The following is a 21,706-nucleotide window of genomic DNA, read 5'->3' on the forward strand; positions in this document are numbered from 1 at the left end:
AGTGTTCTTAAAATACATGGTTTGAAATGCTTAACTTATAATATATTTAAGTATCTCCACTTGATAAGGGTATTGTTATTCCAGAATGCTATTTTCTATCAATTGCAAATATTAGTTAAACATCTAGTATTATCCAACTACCATAAGAGATGCTGGGCATAAAATGGTAAGAAAGGCAAATTGAGTCTTTGCGCTCATGAATTATAAAAGTCTAGAAGAAACACTGATAATTAAAGAATCATTATATATTTCACAGGTTTTAGAATGTTGAAGAAGCATAAACCTTGACCATATTCCATAATTTAGACAGACTACAAGAAAGTGTCATAGAGAAGCTACAATCAAAAAGTTGAGACTTGAATGATGAGTAGGAGAAAGTGGGGAAGTAGAACTTAATATGAGACTCATTTGAATAAGGATCAAATTAATTATGCAGATTATATTGAATATTACATATAATTATATTTTGCATTTTGTATTAAATTTTATTTCCTCCTTTTACATTTCTCACTTTTTGTGACTTCGTCTTATTTTGTTTTCAAAAATTATACATAGCCATTATGAAAATTTAAACCATAGCAGGAAGAATAAGGAAGAAAGTTGTTAGTCAATTGCCAGATCTTCAGACAAAAGCACTTTCAGTAATTCATTTACAATGTAAGAAAAACTAATGTGAAAAAAAACAAAAAACTAGGAACCAAATATGACAGTGGCAATTAACACCATTAGACCATGTTGTAATTCTTCATCCAAACTACAGTACTTATCTTCTCACTGTCCACTTCCCAAGTAGCTATTTGCCGTTAGACTTTAACCAGTAAATAGAGTTCAAGAACTTAAGCATCCAGTGTTTAAATAGGTTTTAATCGATGCATAGGAACATTCCAAGTACTTTTGAATTAAGCATGTTAATCATGTTTAACATGATCATATTTTTAAACAATAAATGAGTTTATTTTGTCTTGAAATAAGACTGAGAAGGTGAATTGATTCAATTATTATTATGACATTGAACTAAAACAGGAAATTATAACATTGAACTAAAACAGGAAATCAGTTAACATAATATAGTTTCTTATGTTAGAAACCCATGAAATAATATGAAAATATATAAACACATGTAAATTTAAAAATATTAAAGTTTGAAGTAAAGTAGTTGCAAAATAAATCTATCTGTAAAATTAGAAACACCAAATTCATTATAAATGATAGTGCTTATTATTGGTTAGAATATGTTGATAATTAAGCTAAAGTCATGCATTTAATTCCCGGATGCTCCAGTTTACTCTGCTTTGTTTTAGAGACGCAGAATGAATCACAATTCCCAGCTGTCTTGGAAGTGTGTATTATTGATGAAGAGGGGTACACTGCCAATATGTGGACAGATTAGTCCAATTCCATTACAATGACCGAAAAAACAATTCTGAGCACATTTCCCATAGAGAGTGGGTCAGCACAGCAGCTTAATTTTTATTTCAGTTTGGCACTAAACATGTGTCTCTTGCAGACAGATGCATATTGATAGTTCTTTGTAATGGTGAAGGGAAAATCTTTTTAAAAAACCATGTAACAGCTTTCTAAAACAGGTAATTTTAAGACTGTAAGATTCCTGAACAATATAGCCAATTTATCCAAATCTTTCAGGCTCAAATTACAATGTACATATTACAAGTTCTGATTTAGTAATGTTAATTTCTGACATGTCCTATGGTTCAATATTCAGAAAGTGGTAAAATAAATGATGGAATCTATTCATATGAGAAATATTTCTCAATAGTCCAAAAAATAGTTCACTTTTATCTTTACAGAACAGTTACTTCCCTCTCTGTGGCCTAAAATTATTCCCCTATTTACCATGCCCCTGGTTTTTATCTGTCATGTTACACTAAGATCAAATTTTAAAAGTACTCTGAATGAAGTAAAACTGGAGCCATGGGCATGTCGCAATGCTGTGTGTCATTGAAAGCATTAAATGTACCAAGAGAGCGATGCTACCATTATCTTTAACTTGGTGGAGATAATGAGAGACTCAAGTATTAGAAATAGGTATGAAATACTGAAAACTTGAATACAGTGGTGAAAGATGTTTTCTTATATTTTCTGTTAATATATTTTAGGCACAGTGGTTCCCTCTTATAGTTTTATTAAAAGGATACTATGTTTAGATATTTTTAAGTAATTTAGTTTTTGTGGACTCACATGAGAATTTAATCATCTTTTATAAAGAAGGCATTTGAAATGGAAAAAAAAAACTAAAACTTTTGAGGTGTTAACATTATTTGCCATGCTATTTGCTTAACACTTTATATCTAATTTAATCCTCACTTCAAAATAACCTTATAGAGTGATTAATATCCTCATTTAATGATGTGTAAAAAAGTTGTTCAAGGGCTCTAAACTAGGATAACCCTAGGTTTTAAACAACTAATGTACATGTGGACTTTTATCACTTAGTACCAAGAGACTTCTTTTTATTCCAGTCTCCAGTTGTTTTTTCTTTTTTGTGTGATAGTATGATATTCAGCTGGATATACTACTACCCAGCTAGACAATGTTTTTGCAGGCCCCCTTTCAGCCATGTGTGGATATATAACCAAATTCTAGCCTAAAGTACAACTTGTGTCTTATTTTTCTAACTACAGGCTGGACTTAGGACGTACTTGCAAGAACAGGGCAGCCATCTTGAACCATAGACAGAAACCATGTTTTGAAAAATGGAAGGAACAAGATATAAGGAAAATTATTCCCCAGCAGTATCAAGCTGGGGAAACAGTCTTAGACAGACTACCTAGACATTTCTATTTGTTTAAGTTGCTGTATTTTTGTGGATATTTCTATTTTACATTGTGTATGGTGTAACACTTTGTTAAAACAGCCTGCATGACATACTATGACTAAGATATAACTAATATATAACATTGTTTATATGTTTCTTGGTAATTAGACCTTTGATGTTGAACTTGAATGAAACTTATTCGATTTTATGATGATGATCATAAGTTATGAAGACAGTTTGCTTGTAATGCAGAGAAGAATACACAAAGAAATCAAACCTGTTTATCCATTTGAGTTATTATAATTTAAGAATATATTATGATACATGTGATTAAACAATAAAATTGTATGTAGTTAAACTTAATGTTATGTAATTATTGCACATTAAGGGACATATCCACTACTGGTGACAGTTGTAATATTAGATAACATCTCAAAACCACTACTCGGTTATTTAAAACTAAAACACACACACAAGACACACACAAAACAACAAAACAATAACTATTATACCAAATAAAACAATGAAATAGAAATAATTTCAATAATGAATACATTATATAGTGGAAATTTCATATAAATAATGAATAACCCTTTCTCTAGCAATGCTGCATCCTTTCGCATAAGAAAATGGTGAAATTTGTCTAGGTGCCACCTATACTACCCAAAAAATAGAAGTACTAGGCAGAAAGTAGGAGTGCATAGAAAGCCAACTACAGATGAAGATTTATTGTGATGAAGATGCCTCCAGAACAAAAGTACTGCTAAATGTCATCATGTAAAAATAACGTGTCCTTTTTCTCACACTAACATCTCAATTATCCTTTGTCTAAATTTACTTTAAGAGACTCCCACATTATATTTAGTAATCATTAATTTTAGTATTTGTAATTTTCCAACAATTGAAAAATTATCGTATGCATACCATACATACATAATTTTTTTAAAAATTTTAAGTACTTTCCCTTAAGTTAGATGAGAAAACACTCCTAAGTTGCCCAAATAATGTTATTATATTGAAATCCAGAATTTTTAGTGACTTTAGAAGGGAAATAATTGCAATGAGTGTTTCATATTAATGCAGTTAGATAATTGCTAGGTGAATCATAAAGACAGTTTGCGAAAGGTAAAAAGACACTAGGCGATAAGATGGCTATATCGATCTTAGAGGTTATTTTATATTTAAAAGCATTAAGTATGCTAAAATAGGTCTACTGTTTTTAAATGATAAAAGTATGCAATAAAACATATTTGAAAACCATTTCGTAGAGTTACTAACCACATACTATTGATACAAAAACTTGTCATACCTATGTATCTATATTTACATGCATACATGTATAGCCATATTTATACCTAGCTCAGTTGTACTAGTGTATGTGTGCATTTTTCCTTTTTTAGTACTTCCTAATTAGCTTTTTCTCTTTCTCAATAGGGTCAGACCCAGGTCACAGCACAATTACACATATCTAAGATTCCTGCAACAAAAACATATTATTCTACCTCATTTTTTGATGTTCACATTTTTTCTCTCATTAAGGATCTGAATGAATCCATATGTCCGGTGTCATATTTCATGTTGGATTACTCTATAATTGTCAAAGTGTGACCTTCCAGAAAGGGAAATTACTGTTTTTATAATAAAGCATATTTTATATGTTTTTATAATGAAGTGCCAGGTCTTGCCTTGCACTGTCCATAAATCTGCCCTGGCTTTCTGCCTGACTGCACACTAAGAATCATGCACAGAAAGCAGAGGCAGAAGCAGTGATTGGTAAGGACAGTTTTCTCAACAGTGTTTCTGCTTTGAAGAATGTAGAAAGATGAGGGCACTTCTGTAACAGTAGTTTGAAGGAAAAATTCTTGTTTGACAACTATGGGATGCAATATAAATTCTCATAGTTTGGCTGTTTACAGCAGTTGGTAAAATGCCAGAGTTGCAGTATATATCAATAGCAAATGATGTATGTGCTTTATTATTTTTTAAGACTGAAGAAAGAGTGTTACTTTTTCTTCTGTAGGCGATCTGTTACATTTTTTGGTGAATATTTGTTTATTTATTTATTGACAACTATTAATGAAAGTTATTTATAATATGGTTTCCTTTAGAAATTATAATTAAATGAAACATAACACAAATTCTGATATGTACAATCTTACCAGGTGAAGATAAGGCATAGTAATGTAGATATTAAAATCAAAACTTGATTAAACATTGCAGACTGTGTACGCTGAATGGCTCTGTGTAGATCATTCTAAAATAATACAGAAAAAAAGTTGTAAATTTTGATAAATACTAAATATGCATGAGTTTCATTACATTTATTAGCATACATTTCATGTCAACTCTCCTGTACACATACATACATATGTAAATACATGTATTTCAAATGGAAATATAAGCATATTTCCATTTTTGCCTAGATCTGATTGTAACTTACTAAAGCTTGCATAGTTCAAAGATATTGCTGTAGGAAGACTACCAAAGCACTAAATTTCAGTTTACTTGCATTACAGACATCTGAACAGGTGTTGCACTTACTCCCCCAAACCCCTACATGTTAAGCATGAACTTTTATGGAAAATCCTAATTTCAAAAGATCAGAAAATAGTATGTTTAATTAAGGAAGAGGGAATAGATGAGTGAAATTACAAACAAAGCTCATTATCAGGAAAATTAACATCAATTAGCCCAGACAGTTTATTTTGAAAAGAAAAAAAAATAAAATAGCCAATAAACAATTTTTTTCTAAGTTTAATTTCTTATAAAAGATATTATGGCAATGAGCCATTATTTGTGTACCACTCATTTTGTCCACCACTCATTTAACCAGAACTGTTATGAAGACAAATAACTAAGTTGACTGATTTGGATTTCATCTCTCACCCTTTAGTCTCTAATGGCAGAGGTATTAATGAACAGAAAAGCAAATACAAGTTTAGCATCTGGCGAAAAGAGATATGGAAATAAAATGGAAAATGAATCATAAATTAATATTGCAAAACAGGCTTTGTTACTGTCAATATTTGTTTAATGTATCCTGTCTTGTTTGAGTTATTTTTTTCCAACAACTAATAACACAGAAATTAACAAATAAGTTTATTTTTTTCTGGTGTATTTTTATTCATTAGCAATTTAGGCAATCTATATTTAGTCAAACAGTATTTCATCAGGGCAATTAAGACAGCCCAATGTTTCTGCAAGTCATTTCACAGGCCACACTCTCCCACCCTTTGGCAATGTATTTTCATAAGACTCCAGTGGTTACTCGATATAAATGTTTAGAAACATTCATCTAGTTGTGAATACTAAAACGTTATCCAAATATTCCTTTAGGCCAAAACTTTAGTCATAATGTCATTTTAAAACCCATTTAAATGGAAAATAACTTTGCCTCCAAACAAGTATAATTTTCAATGCAGTAAAATTAATAATATTGAGCCCTTACTTTGTTGTGCCAGATAAAATACTATACATACATATTATGCATATGTATCTGTGTACATTTTGTATATATGTATGTATATATAATTTCATTTGATTATCATAGCAAACTTGTAGGTGCTTTTCTTTGCAGATGAAGATAATAGCAGAGAAGTTAGATCATTTGCCCATCACATTGTTCAGTATATAGTGAACATGTATTAACATTTGTGGTATGAATGACTCAATGGAAATGCCTTACAGCTAGCTTTGAAGTACTAAAGCCTGTGGTAAAAATGTTTGGGGTTTGGGTCATAGTTATAAACCATGCCACCAAGCAGGGTCAGCCTTGGGTATAATGCAACTGGGGCACAGCTCTGAGTTCTCCATCTTTTATTCTACCTCTTGCTTCCTTTTCTCCTAATATCCCACTCACAACCCCGCTCAAGCAAATCCAGAAGGATGACTCTAAATGAGGGGCTTCTGGCTCCCACATAGAATCTTAGGAAACCCCACAGATGTTCACTGCATATGAGACTACCTACAATTAAGAGCAGTTTGACTAAATCACTTACTTGAGCCCTCAAAAGCCAGGAGTCCCATTATGCATCAACAAACTGCCTTGGGAGGGAAGGATATTTGTACTCTGAAGATTGGCTAAGTGGTTGAACCAGTCCAAAAACCAATAAGGTTTTTAGTGACATTGAGAAATTCTGAACCATTTTTCTTTACCAGTCATAGGACCCTACAAAGGTAGTAACTTGGCAATATGGACATTTTACAAGTTTTCATTCTGAGTAAGATACAGCAGACTGGTCATTTAAGGTCTGTTAACTTTCAAATTTACACTATGCATCACTTTAACTATTTAACAGTATTTTACCACAATGACTCATTAAAAAAACATTTAAATGAAACAATTTACTATGACCTAAATTAATTTAAAAGATGTTTAAAAATGAAACATTTGGAAATTTAATTACAGCTTAATTAATTCCAATAGTATGAGTTAAACGTTATGGGAGAATGCAGAATTAGAAAGTTCAAGACTAGATCCCAAATTCTCTCTCTCTGTTTAATCTAAACATTGAAAATAAGAAATGGTTTAAAAATATTTTCATATTTGCACTTTAATTCTATACTTACAATCATATTTTCCAAGGCATGTTTGGCAAGCCAACAGTTCAGAAAGACTGGGACAAATAGATTCCTTAAGGAAGGCCAGAATATCTGGAAAACAAAACAAAACAAAACTAGACTTTTATCTCAAAGCAATAAACCATACCCAGTATACTAAAAAGAAATGGAAAAAAAGCTGTTAAAGAAAGTATAATAATTTAAAATATGACAAATAATGTAAACTCACTCTTAATAAAATGTAAGGAATTGATATGTTCTTTCATTCATTGTCTAAATCTTTCTTAGGGAAATTATTGCAGAAGCAAAAAGAAAATAATAATCTTTCACCAGATGGCAGATATCTATGCTAATTATATCATTGAATCTTTTAGTGTGATGGTTTGTAATAGACATTGACTTCCTTTTCTCTGTAACTTGAGGTATTAAGTAGGAACAAAGAGGAAAGGTACTCTCTTTTTTCATAATATTGCCTCTTACTCTCTTTATGTTAAACCACTTTAAGCGACATTGCGGAGCTATGTTCAATTAGAATTATATTTAGTTAACCTGTCATTTAATCTAGTTCCAGTTGCTTCTCTAGATAAATCACTCAAATTAAAATAATTATCAGAACAGAGCGACAGCTCCAAGTAATATCTACTTATTTTCAAAATCCTCCAAATAAAATTCAAATGAAGTAATACAAAGGATAATCCCAACAGACATTATTATAACTTTATTAAATTGCGATTAAAATATAGTTTTGCAAAAGGAAAGTGCTGAGTAACATATTTATGGGACTGTAGTTGAATAGGATCATCATGGAACTGATAACACAGAGCAGTTTGAAAAGAAGCAAAATGTTGGGTGCCTGACTTTTGACAATCTCCTTACTAAAAACAGAACTAGACTTAATAAATCTTGTGGTTAAACCACAGATAGATATTTTCAACGTATGAAAAACTTTTGTAAATATGTTTCCAATTGGCTTATTTTTTTAAAAAAAATCCACAATATAAACAATAAGTGGATAAGTAATTTCTAGTAATTTTAAACAACAATGACATTTGTCAAATGGCATCCCCAGAACATATATCTCTTTAAAATATTTTACTCTGCTATTGTATGAAATCATTAGTTTCCATTTAGTTACACAACACGATCCAACCAATTTTATCTTGTTGCTTAGTATCATGATTCTAACCAAAGTCTAAATCCATTTATCTTAGCTACCATATTATTTAACAGTATCTAGGTTTAAATATTTTACTTAAGTCTAATTACAAAAGTGTTTTTTTAAGGTTCTTTTAGGACTTACTGAGATAATGAAGGGAACTGCATTAATTATTTCCAAGATGAAGGGTATTCGTAAAATCTGTTCCCAGATGTTTCCCTTCCAAGAAAGAATGAATAAAAACGAAAGTCAATTATACTGCCTCCTATTAAAGGGGGAAAAAGACAGCACTTAGAATTTCTCTAGCAATAAGGATGCTTCCATTAACAGAATACTGAATATTATATAGAGATGTAGCAATGACTTTTAGAGATTATTTTTCTTAGGGTAATTGTGCTCTCTCAATTTTGTAAGTTTAAGAAGTAAAACAAATGTTTGTAGAAACCAGGAATATTGCACATAACATTTTTTATCAAGTAATATGTCATGGAAGAAAAGTACTAGTAAAAATAAAACACATTAACAAAACCTACAGTCAATTAAAAAGTGACAATTTGAAGTTTTACTTACTATAATAATGATATTCACTAACCATCAAGTATATTAGTTTGTGAAACGTACCCTTGTTAACAATCATTGGTATTAAAATTGTTTTCACTTTAATACAATTTAAAGAAAGGACTTTTTCAATCATCTAGACTCTAATCTCCCTACCCTCATAATACAAACATATTAAACAGGACTGAGTACATAATTTGCAGGACCCAGTGCAAAATGAAAAATATGAGGCCTCCTAATAAGACATTAACAATTTCAAGAAGGTAACATTAGAACATTCAACTAATCACGAGGACCTTCTGGTTGTGGAACCTTGTGCTGACCCTGATATTATGCACAGAATACGTGTCCATGAAGCTGACCCTAACATTAAGAGGTCACCACTGAAACTTTCTTGATTGGTGTCTGACGATAATGAGCACAGACTTTCCTAAAGCAGTTTATTCTTCTATGAAGAGATCTATGTATTAGAAAGGCAATTTGAAATCTGCTATACTGTAATCTCCAATTATCCATTATAACACTGACTATAAAATTGGGACTCTTTCTTAATTTTCCTTAAGGCCCCAAAGGTTTAAAAACTGCACTGATGGAATATACTTGCACATCCCAAAGGAAAGTTGTAGAGCAGCTATTGTCTCCATATACTAAGAAATTAAGTAATAGGTTTTGTGAGCATAGTTTATCACCCTCATCCAGGCTACATAAAAACAGTAAAGGAGTGGGAAGTTAGAAGAAAGGGAAGCAGTGAAAATGCCTCCTTATAGAGATGTTACAGGTGCTGTGGTGCATCTCATCACCTCAAGTTAAGTGAAAAGGGCTCCAGGGAACCAAACCACTTAACTTGGCTCCAACATGGAGACTGCATTTGGCTACTGCCCAGAACTTTTTAAACTGAAGAGATCAAAGAAAAAAAGGATGACTGGATAATAACAGGACACAATCCCTCCTATTTTAAGGCAAAAGTGCCTATTTTCTGGGAACCAGATATAAACCCTAAAGAATGGAACCTATGGTCATTTAAAAATGGTTTACACTCAGTAAGACTGTGTAGCTGAAGGTGAAATGGGACTTCAACAGATGGTGGGCCTGAGAAGCCCAAGGTCTGTGTCAGAGCCCTAGTCTGTAGCCTGACACACTGAGGCCTCCAGGAAATTCAAAGGCTCCAGATAGGCCACAAAAGCTTTACATGGGAGAAAGGGCCAGAGCTTGTGTCTGCCATGAGGAACAACCAAACACCAGACAATAACTGTGCCAGTCAGGCAACTTCAACCCAGAAACTGACTGCACTTCATTCCCTGTTCTTCCTCAGCCTTAAAGGGCATCAAATAAGAGAGGAAGTAGAAACATCAGATAGGCCTCCCATGATAATTCCCTGTGCCATGTAGGTCTGAGTTGAGGATAGGGAGAAGCCATCTTAAAGGAGAATTTTAAATTTTTGCATATATTGACCCTAATTTCTTTCTTTCTTTTTTTTTTTTTTTTTTTTTGAGACAGAGTCTCGCTCTGTCACCCAGGCTGGAGTGCAGTGGCACAATCTCGGCTCACTGCAAGCTCCGCCTCCCTGGGTTCATGCCATTCTCCTGCCTCAGCCTCCCAAGTAGCTGGGACTGCAGGCACCCACCACCACGCCCGGCTAATCTTTTTTTTATTCTTTTTTTAATTTTTTTTTTGTATTTTTACTAAAGACGGGGTTTCACCGTGTTAGCCAGGATGGTCCCGATCTCCTAACCTCGTGATCCGCCCGCCTCGGCCTCCCAAAGTGCTGGGATTACAGGCATGAGCCATTGCGCCCGGCCCCTAATTTCTTAAATACTAAACTGTGATTTGCCGTATGAATGAAAAGACCAGAAAAGCTATAGAACCTCTCTGAGATGTCATCTGATTAGCATGGATGAGACAGAGGATGCACGGTTTTGAAGAAGTGTAGAAAGAGTGGTCTTTTCCTACTACCACTGAATCAGGACTATTTAACAAAAGAGTTATAACTAGTCATAGTTATGCCATGTTTTTTTTTAATTGTGCAGGTGAATAATATCATTTCTTTCATCAGTTTTTACACGGCATCATTTCCAGAATGTTATCCTTTGCCTTTCTCTTCCACTATTGTATTTTCACTTTTCATTTTACATTTTTTTTTGGTATCAATGATTGTCCACAAGAAGAGATTGATCTGAGTAGCAAGAAAGGAGGGTTATGGGACCAGTTGCTGCTAGTGATATGAAAGGCTATTTCTGTTAATGCCCAGCAAAATTCGTATGAACTGTGGCAGATTGTATAATTTAGTTCATGTAAACAAAAACCTTTTATCTCTCTTATGTCTCTCTTCTCTTCATTTCCATTTATAACACATTAGCCTTTTATGATTTTTATTTAATTATCTGTCTAGGTTGGGTTTGTTTCCGATTTTTCTTCCACATTAAAGCCAGAAGAATCTTTCTAAAATGCCAAATTCCCATTGCCAACATAATAAAATCCAAACTCATCACTGTATTATATGAAATTTCACAGTTTGAACTCTGGCTACTAGCTTGGCTTGTAATTTTGATATTTCTATTCCTATCCTGAACTCAACCAAAGATTAATCCACACTGAATTTTATATCCATCTCTGAACAAGCTAGGCTACTTTATGCTTGTAGACTTTTGCCCACATCTGTCCCTCTGGCTGGAATATTACACCTCCACACCTTCAATACTAATCTCCTTGGCAAGCACTTGTAACATTTCAGTGAACTAATTTTTTAAAATGCTTGTTGGGGCTCAATTAATATCACGAATGAGTAAATGATACTCCCAGCTATTTCATACACACTCTTCCCCTTCTGTGATATAGTTATTTTATTTTTGGAGCTTAAATATTTACATTTCTTTCCATTGGATCCAAATGATCTCATTTGAAAGAATGATATTGTTTAAAACCTTTATACTTAAAGTAATCATGTAGAAATGATTAAACTTGTAACTGCTGAGCCAATTGAAATTTTCTGGAGGAAAGGATTCAAGAGTTCTTGTTTCTATACCCATGTTAAGTAATTTCATCCATGTTTCAGCTTCAACTTATAATAAGCTAATGACTAATAATCACTAATAAGCTAATGACTTCCAATATTGTATCAATAGCTCGAACCAATATTTTATCTCTTGAGATTCTGACTCAGATCAACTGCTTAATCCACTGATTCACATCAGCGCCTCTAAAGCACTTTATATATAGTATGTCTAAAGCAAAACTTATGATTTGTTCCCTGACTTATCTCCCAGTAACACAAACCAAAAATCTTGGAGAAACTTTTTACATTTTCCTTTCACACTATACTATACTTATAATTATACTATAATTTATCAATAAGACCTACTAATTTGTAAATAGATCTTGAGATTTTCTAGTTTTTATTTCAGCTCATTTCTCACTTTTTGACTTGTTAAGCCTAGTTAGCCACCATCCCATCATTCTTGCCCCATTCCAATTCACCTACTGCACTATTACCAATCCCCTGCACCTTTACGCCAGACCAGGCCTACTCTTCAGAACTATTCAGATACTTACAAAACAAAGACAAAAATGTGATTATATCATGCAAGGCACTATTTCATTTGTCTCTTGTTGACTTCTCCAACCTTATTTTAAAGATCATTCCTTCCATGGACGGAATATATAAAGTATATTCACTGCTTAGAACATGCCTTAAGTATACTTTTGCATATAACTCTTAAAGAGGCTTGGAAAAGCTTTACCTTTCTTTACAACTTCACTTTGCCAAGTTAACTCATACCTGCCTTTCAGCTCTCAACCGAAATCTGGGTTTTTAGAGACTTTCCTTGCCCCTTCATCATATACCCTCTAGGCAGGATCTGACCCCCACATTAGGCTTCTTGATTCTCCATCAATTTCTTTCACATTTTTTTCCAGTTTGTATTTATATACTTAAGACATTACAACACTTTAAACTCTGTGAGGTCAAGATCAGGACCAGTGTATTTCAGGATTGCATGCTCTACTCCTAGCGCAGTGCTTGACAGTCTGAATCTCCTAAATAAAAACTGTTGGTACATTACGTCAACCATGGATTGTTGACTCACACCACATGTATGCATATATGTGTATGTTTGTGTGAGTTTTGTGACACATGAATGAACTTCCCACAGAGGACTAATTTTCATGGTCTAAAATTGTACAGTGGGGCAATGTATTTATTGCTAAAAATAAATGCGTCTCTTTTCAGTTATATGCATTGAGTTTAATTCTAAGATTTCAGGTTGTCTTCTAAACTATGAGATACATCCATAAATTATCTTTCTTAAAAATAGCTAATGAAACATAAATATAGAAAGGATCCACAAGTTTCATTGGCCAAAAAGGAGTCCCAATAAGCATAAATCACAAAAACCTAAGGATAAATGCTAGTATGGTGAAAAAAAGTATGCTTTCATACAATGTCACTATGTAAGAAAACTAAGAAATAAAATTGAAAGGCAAGCACAATGCCTTTCAAAATTGTATTAAATACATTTTTCATTTAATCTTATTTTCATGAAGGAGATAAAAAGCATTATTCTTCTTCCAAAAAGTAACTTCTTTAGTTTCTAAGTAGTAGCTGTATCTCAGTGGCCAGTCCTCTCTATGTTCCTTTTATTATTGACAGAATTCAATAAAATATAAAGAAATCTCAATCCAATTAGTCTACATTTAGCACGGACACATCATTTTTAACCAATAATAATGCAGAAAAATATGCGATTTTCTAAAATGCATCGCACTTTTATTTTTATCATAAAGAAACATGGAACCTTGGAACTACTATCTGTGCAACCCTAAAGAGCACTTTAAAAATTATATTAGTTATAGCAGTTCATTTGTTGCAAGCCCCAATTCAGCCAAGGAACATTTTGTAAATACTTTTTGTTCTTAAATGTTAAGAATACCTGTATTTTAAAATATTTAATAAAAGGTTTGGTAATTTGTCTTCTTTGGATGAATTTAAAATAGTGTCGTAACGCTATGGCAGTCTTTGTATTTCTACATATAAACCCAACAATATTTAGATTTACCATTTTCAGAACAAGATAAGCAGAATCAACAGTATCTGGTATTCAGGAGTCCTGGACTAAATTCTTTGTTCTTTTCCAGAAATAAACCAGTGTGGTGTTAAACTTTCAAAATTGTTGCTTTTTGTAATGTGATTATGGAAAAAAAGAATTGCACATTTAACAAAAGGGTTCTAGGTATGATGAATTTTTGTGTGTGGAGGTTTGGAAATTGTGCCAGAGTTTGTTTTTGTTTCCTTTTGATTTAACGAATGTGTGTGCATAAATAGAACTTTATTTTGAAAGCAGTTGATAAAGAATTAGAGGGTATTTATGATGACAAAAGAATAAGAACTTTAGTGTTGGGTGATTACCATGTTTGTTTTGCCAACTAGCTATAAACATGAATGGAATGATGATTTAAGCACAGACCTGCACTTCTGTATGACAGAAGACAAAATAAGTTCATGTCATGGATGCTAATTCATTATCTGCTAAACTCAACATGTACTTTAATAGTTCTAGGTAATTTCGCTTTAAGTTGGTCTGGTTTTCAAAACCTACAGTCTCAATGAAAGTTTAAACTATTTTAGTAGCTAATGATTTAGTTATGCTTATTTTAGAATGTCTAATTTCAAGAATTATAAAGTGCTTGCATAATGCTGTATTAAATGTATTTTTAAATATTTAATGTATACACATATAAGCATACATATCTATCCATAAATATACATATGTAAACAAATACAAGAAAGTTATATATGGATTTGCTATTAATATTACTATTTCAGAATTATAAGTATCAAAGAATAATATCAGCAGTGGAAACAATTGCTGGTGCAATACAATATCCATTTCTGTGTGTCTGTATATTACTTTTCTTTAAAAAATCTAACTTAGCCAGGCATGGTGGCTCATGCCTATAATCCCAGCACTTCGGGAGGCTGAGGAGGCAGGCAGATCACTTGAGCCAAGGAGTTCCAAACCAGCCTAAGCAACATAGCAAAACCCCATCTCTTAAAAAAAGATACAAATATTAGCCGGGTGTGGTGGTGCACACCTGCAGTCCCAAGCCACTTAGGAGGGTGAGGCGAGCGGATCTATACCTCCTAGGAGGTAGAGACAATCACGCCACTGCACTCCAGCCTGAGCAACAGAGTGAGAACCTTGTCTCAAAAAAAAAAAATCTAACTTGAAGGAAGGAGTATGTTTTAAATTCTGCTACCAAACATGCTTTATTTAGAGACCATAAATGACTACCAATTACTTGATTTACCCATTCTAAAAAAATTATCAAACACTCTGTTGAAGGGACCAAAGAGATTCACAGATTGGACTATATTGATGAGAGGAAAAAGAAGATAATTAACAGCAACCTATCCTTCTACTGTCACATAACTCCTATTTATCCTATCTGTTTTCTCTGTAACACACTGGACTTAACTGCTGTCTACATTTCCTCCATCGAAGCCATTAATGTTTATGAGGGTTGAAATGGAAATATTATATATCATCTAGCTCTGCATGCTAGGTCTTACAATTTTCTGCTCTAATTTTATAAATTATAAGCAATAATTGATTATAAATGTCATCATCATATGATTGCAATAAAAATTATCTTGAATCAATATGTGTTTTTAAATGGCTTTTAAAATTAGTGCTAAGAGTTCTATTAGCAAAACACCAATCTTAATTTCATATTACATTTTAGCCAGAAGTTGGAGCAAATACATCTTCAAATGCAGATTAATATTTTGGCCATGTTACAGTTTTGTATATATTCCTGTGCTAGTGGAAGGGATAGGATTAATTTACCCCAAAACACACATGCCTAAATTTTAAGCATACCATTATTTATATATTACATTCAACATTTATCATATATATGTATGCATGTATATTAATGAACATTAAAGATAAGAACTGGGATATTAATTTATTTGATTTTTTATTTTGTTTTATTTTTCTAGTTACCCAATATCCAGATTTGTCAATCAGGACATATTTATAGTGCACCTATTTTGACAAGGAGATATACTAATACACCCTTAAAAGACCCTTCTTCATTATCTTCATCTATATTGCTTATTATTGATTTAGTACTTTCTAGGTAATTTAGGGATGTGTGGCTCCCATGTGAAAGCTCTTTCATTTCTCTTCTCTAGCTCTAATTTACTTATTGATCCACGACTTTCCACCTTCTGCACTCCCAAAAGACAATGGAGACTTTCCAAAACTAATCATTAAACCTCAGGTTTCTATTCCAGCTTACTTACTTCTTACTTATTATAAACTTTCCTATAATATTTCACTCCTGCCTTGTACTTTCTCTCTTTTTTAAACAATGAAGATTTTTTTTTATCATGAAGCAGTCATCCTTGCTTCATCCTACTGCTTTGAGTAAGCACCTGCCCCAGTCAAACAACATTCTCCATTTAACAATTTTGACACTCAATTGTATTCCATTATAACTGACCTATTGTAGGCAAATAGCAAATGACCTCCTAATTTGTAAACTCAATAGCCTTTTCTCAAGTTTCTTATACTTGACATAGCAAATGTGCTTTTATATGATACTTTTTGTTCCTCAGATATTTCTAACATCCTATGTCTTCTCATAAATTTTAATCAATCCACCTATATTTTTTAAAGCTGTCATTCTTTTCTTTCTATACTTTCTTATTCATCAATCTGACATTCTTAGAAATTAGTGTTTTTTTTAAGATGGCAATAATGAGAATTAAAAAAGAAAAAAAAAGTGAGCCTGAAAAAAGGGTGAGTTTGTAAAAACTTCTTGCTCTAAATTTAGAACTAAATAATAGTCTGAAGAATGTTATCTTCAAAACTCTTGTTTTAAAAAGTGAGAGAGGGACAGATGCAGTGGCTCATGCCTGTAACCCAAGCCCTTTGGGAGGCTGAGGTTGGAGGATCACCTGACCCAAGGAGTTTGAGATCAGCCTGGGCAACATGGCAAAATCCTGTCTCTACAAAAAAATACAAAAAAAATTAGCCAGGTGGCAGTGTGCACGTATAGTCTCAGCTAGTCAAGAGAGTAGGGAGAATTGCTTGAACCCAGGCGGAGTTGAAGCTGCAGTGAGCCATAATCATGCTACTGCTCTCCAGCCTGGGTGACAGTGTGAGACCCTTTCCCCTCCCCCTCCAAAAAAAAAGTGAGAAAGAAATTGATGTGCTAGATATGAGTTCCCCAAAAACATAACCTTGAGTACACTTGATAGAGTAGATGAAAAGGCTATTAACAAAAATTAGTAATGATTATGACAACCACTCCAATGACTTTCTATCTTTTCTAACTTCTCTGTCTTCCCTGATTGTTCTATTATTCCTCCAAAACCCTGAATTTAAGCATCTCCATCAACATAAGCCTTAGTTTCCACCCTGGTGATTAACCCATGCATGATAGATTCTCATGGCTTCCTTTACTATCAGGTCTTAATAGTGAAAATGACTGTCAAGTCTTAATAAATCTCCCTCTCAAAAGTTCCAGATTCTCATTCTCAATTGCATACCTTATTTATCTGTGTGTTCACCAGTACCTGAAATTCATCACCTCCAAAACTAATTCCATTATTTAATCTATGTGGATCCCAATATGACTTCTTTCTTGGTACGATTGTTTCTTAGTCTTACTGCAGTATTTCCAGTCCTTCAAACTTAGAAGCTATTAGAATGCTATGAATTTCCTTCTCTTCGCCTATCTCAACCCATCAGTTGATTTCTTTAGCTTCTACCTTCATAATTAATCTTTCATTAAAACTGGTAAATCTTTTCATCCAGCCAAAATCTTACTGTCAGTTTTCCTTTCATACTGCAACACATCTTAACTGAGCACATGAACTTCACCATAATGTCTATTTGACCTGAGCTGCATAGAGATTCTGAACTAATATTCCTAAAACTGAATTTCAATTACAGAATCTTGTGTTAGTCATCTTCCATCAACTTAAAAATATATGCTGCTATACAATGCCCCCATGTTCTAGACAAATATATTTATTATTCCTCCAATTTTACATGCAAAGTCCTTCCTTTATGCCTTTGCTAATTTTATCAATCTCTATTGTGCTGTCTTTTCATCTTGCCTTATTGAAATCACTATGGTTCAAGTACTACTGTTTCCTTTTCATTCCATGATATGAGCTCTCTCTATAAAACCCCACAGTACTTTCTTAGACCTCACTGGAATTACCCATTATATGCTGCTTGTATTATTATTATCTGTATGATGCTCTGCTGTAACCTCCCCTTTCTTGACTGTAAACTCATTGAAAAAAGAATCATGTGAACTACAGAGCTCTCCATTAAATAGGAGCTCAATAAATACTTGTTAAATCATGTTAGCCAAACAAAGCTTTATCAAAAAATAAGATAATTTATTAAAATAATTCCTAAGAGACATGTTTTTGCTTTCTCAATATTTTGTGTACAAATCAGAAAAAAACAATGTTGAATACAATAAAGTTGAACCATTCCATTTGCTTGTCTCACTATATGCATGCATATAATGGGTAAGTAAACCCATAGGAACTAGCAAAGCATTTGTAAGTCATCAAGGAAAACATTACCGTATTCATACAGCTTTTTATCAGCTACTGGAGCGGCTCAAAACAAAGTGGCTCAAGAAGAGTCAGCCTTACCTTCCAGTGCGAACTATAAATAGAGGAATACTGAGTAAATACTACAGATGTGTTCTATCAGCGGGAAACTGCTAATTAAAATAACTTACCTTATAACTAAGATAACCAAGTAATATTGTTTCAAACAGACTTATCAATGCCACTGAAACCTGAAAGATAAATTGTAACTTAATGAGAAAACGCAATACAATTAAATTATATATATTCTTGGCTATACTACTAACTTTATTTAAATATATGTGCATGTATACATATATGGGTGTATAATAGGACTTATTAGGCGGTACTTTAACTTCTATACACAGATGACAGGCTGCTGGCCAGAGTTTGCTGTCTCCTGTACTACATCTTAGTTTTCATACATTCTAATACTCCTTAGTAAACCATTTTTAGTTATTATTCAAAATGTAAAGGTGGTATTAAAATAGGCTGGCTGCAGTTTACATGATATATAAAGAACAGGCTCTTTTATGGGTGTGTTTCGTTTTAAAATTTTTTTTAAATAGAAATGGGGTTTTGCAATGTTGTCCAGGCTGGTCTCAAGCCCCGGGGCTCAAGCAATCCACCCTACTCAGCATTCCTAAGTGCTGGGATTACAGGCGTGAGCCACCGTACCCAGCTATGTGTGTGTGTTTCTAATACATAAAATCACATGTGACTGTCCACCACAGATAACCACTCTATCCCAGAAGCATGACCATCTGTACCAAAATCAGTATTTCTCTTCAGAAAATACAGAAAATGAAATAACACACACTTCAAGTTTAATAGTATATTCAATCTTATCACCCATGTGAAACAAAATAAAAAGGCTACATCTTTGAGTACTAAATAAAATAGACCATACCACCACTTCAAAATACTTTCAGATTTTATTTGAATGAATTTCATAACCAATTCCCCTTGTGCAGATAGAAGTGTTAGTACTATCTTCCTACGTATCCTTTTATCTTTTTCTATATTCTCTATTGTATACACCATCTCTAGTGTTAACTACCAAAAATATATTACTGTGCCACAAAAAGTAACTAGAAAAAATAATAAAATTATTCTGTGTTAAATACTCTACAACCTTAGGATAGATAAATAGAATCAAATAAGCAAATATAAACAAAAAGTGTCTCAGGTAAATATATATGTTTATAGATTTTTGAGGTTTAAGACTATTCGAATGAGAACGGCAGATACCCTGGAGATTACATTTTTTCTTCTGTTGGGATAAAAATCTTTGAATTTAAAAGAATATTAAAACAGGAGAACAATAAGAAAACAGATAAAATGCATAACAGTGTAAGTAAAATATGTTCAGAAGTATGTGCAGTAGCCAGGCATTATTATGATAGAAAACGCAAATCTCTTTCATTTTCTCCATAAATCCTCTAAATCATAATTACTCATGCTTTTTTTGTAGAAGTACATAGCATTAGATGATCTCTAGAGCATTTTTAACATTTTACTCAAAGTGCTATTTAAAAATGAACATCGGCCAGGCGCAGTAGTTCACGTCTGTAATCCCAGCACTTTGGGAGGCCGAGGTGGGCGGATCACGAGGTCAGGAGATCGAGACCATCCTGGCTAACACGGTGAAACCCCGTCTCTACTAAAAATACAAAAAAAGTAGCCGGGCGTGGTGGCGGGCGCCTGTAGTCCCAGCTACTCCGGAGGCTGAGGCAGGAGAATGGCGTGAACCCAGGAGGCGGAGCTTGCAGTGAGCCGAGATCGCACCACTGCACTCCAGCCTGGGCGACAGAGAGAGACTTCGTCTCAAAAAAAAAAAAAAAAAAAAAAAAAAAAAAGAGCATCGTTAGTATTTTCAAATATCACTGTTTTAAAAAGCAATTTGAATAGATCAAAATATATTTGAAGATAATATATGGCTATTCATAAAACAATTTATTTTAAATGTGCACTTAATTGAAGGATAGCTCAGAGATTAAAATACTACATTTTAATGAACATTTCAATATTTTCAGTGTTATTTATGAATTAATATGATATTGCAACAAAAGTCAGAGTAAGGAAATGTAAAAAACAACTTGACTTTAACAAAACTTAAAACACCCAGGCATAGTAAAAACTTGATTTCATGGTTATGATCACAATGCACACATACTTAAAGTAATTCATTATCACATACAAATATACAGACTTCACAATCATCGTGACTTTGAAAGACATGTGGAATGAGTGTAGAATGAAAGATATTGAAGACTTGGAAGAGTGAGAAGGGAGGAAGAGGGTGGATGATGAGAAATTGCCTGGTAAGTGTAACATACATTATTTGAGTGATGGATATAGTGAAAAGCTGGACTTTACCACTACTCAAAATAGCTAAGTAATAACATTGCACTTGTACCCCATAAATGTATACAACTTTATGAATAAATAAATAAACTAGTTTAAAGATTGCTCCTAAGCAGTGAGTCTTAAAGTCTTTCTCTTTCCTCCAGACTCAAGTGTCTTCCAATCTCCAATTCTTTCTGATGTTGGTGATTCTATTCTTCCGATTAATTTGTAATTTTTAAAAGCAACAGAAAATAAAAAGGATCTGTAGGAAGTAAACAGAAGTAGAGGCGATAGAAACTTACAAAAAGTTCACTGGGCATGAAATTCAGTAGGAAACAAAACAAAACAAAGAAGTAACGGAGACTCTAGGGAACACCTCAACAATATAAATCAGACATCTTGTGCTCTGTCATATTTTCTTAGCCTTTCTTAAAGACTCCTTTTATGCTATGGCATACTTTTGGTTTTATTTACATGATTAATTGCTTAGGAACTAAGCTCTTACTATTGGTGATATGAGTCATTGTTTCATTTGTTCATTCATTAAATAATTATTTATTGATATTCTACCATATTCCAGACACTAAGAATACAAGGTAAAAAGCAAACACAGTTATAGGCTTTGAGTAACCTTAAAGGAATCATATAACAGGAATACTTAATGTAGTTTGGGAAAACTTGTGGAGCC

The 21,706-nt window shown here is 33.0% G+C and overlaps 1 protein-coding gene across 13 annotated transcripts in view; it reads right to left on the reverse strand.

Annotated features, from left to right (window-relative positions):
- Positions 1-21,706, reverse strand: part of KCNT2 (potassium sodium-activated channel subfamily T member 2) — a 382,662-nt gene that overhangs the window by 234,579 nt on the left and 126,377 nt on the right. For 12 of the 13 annotated variants that reach the window (NR_146057.2, NR_146058.2, XR_001737149.3 and 9 more), the window contains exons 5-8: positions 18,822-18,881; positions 8,637-8,711; positions 7,346-7,429; positions 4,936-5,030 (exon numbers count right to left, since the gene is read on the reverse strand). Coding sequence is in view for 9 of the 13 variants with exons in the window: in NM_001287820.3 (NP_001274749.1) it covers positions 4,936-5,030; positions 7,346-7,429; positions 8,637-8,711; positions 18,822-18,881 (314 nt within the window). In the remaining 4 variants the exon portion in view is untranslated. The remainder of the gene's footprint in view (positions 1-4,935; positions 5,031-7,345; positions 7,430-8,636; positions 8,712-18,821; positions 18,882-21,706) is intronic. The other variant, XM_017001185.3, reaches the window with a different exon arrangement.

Source organism: Homo sapiens, chromosome 1, assembly GCF_000001405.40.
Source record: "Homo sapiens chromosome 1, GRCh38.p14 Primary Assembly".
Taxonomy (NCBI): Eukaryota; Metazoa; Chordata; class Mammalia; order Primates; family Hominidae; genus Homo; species Homo sapiens.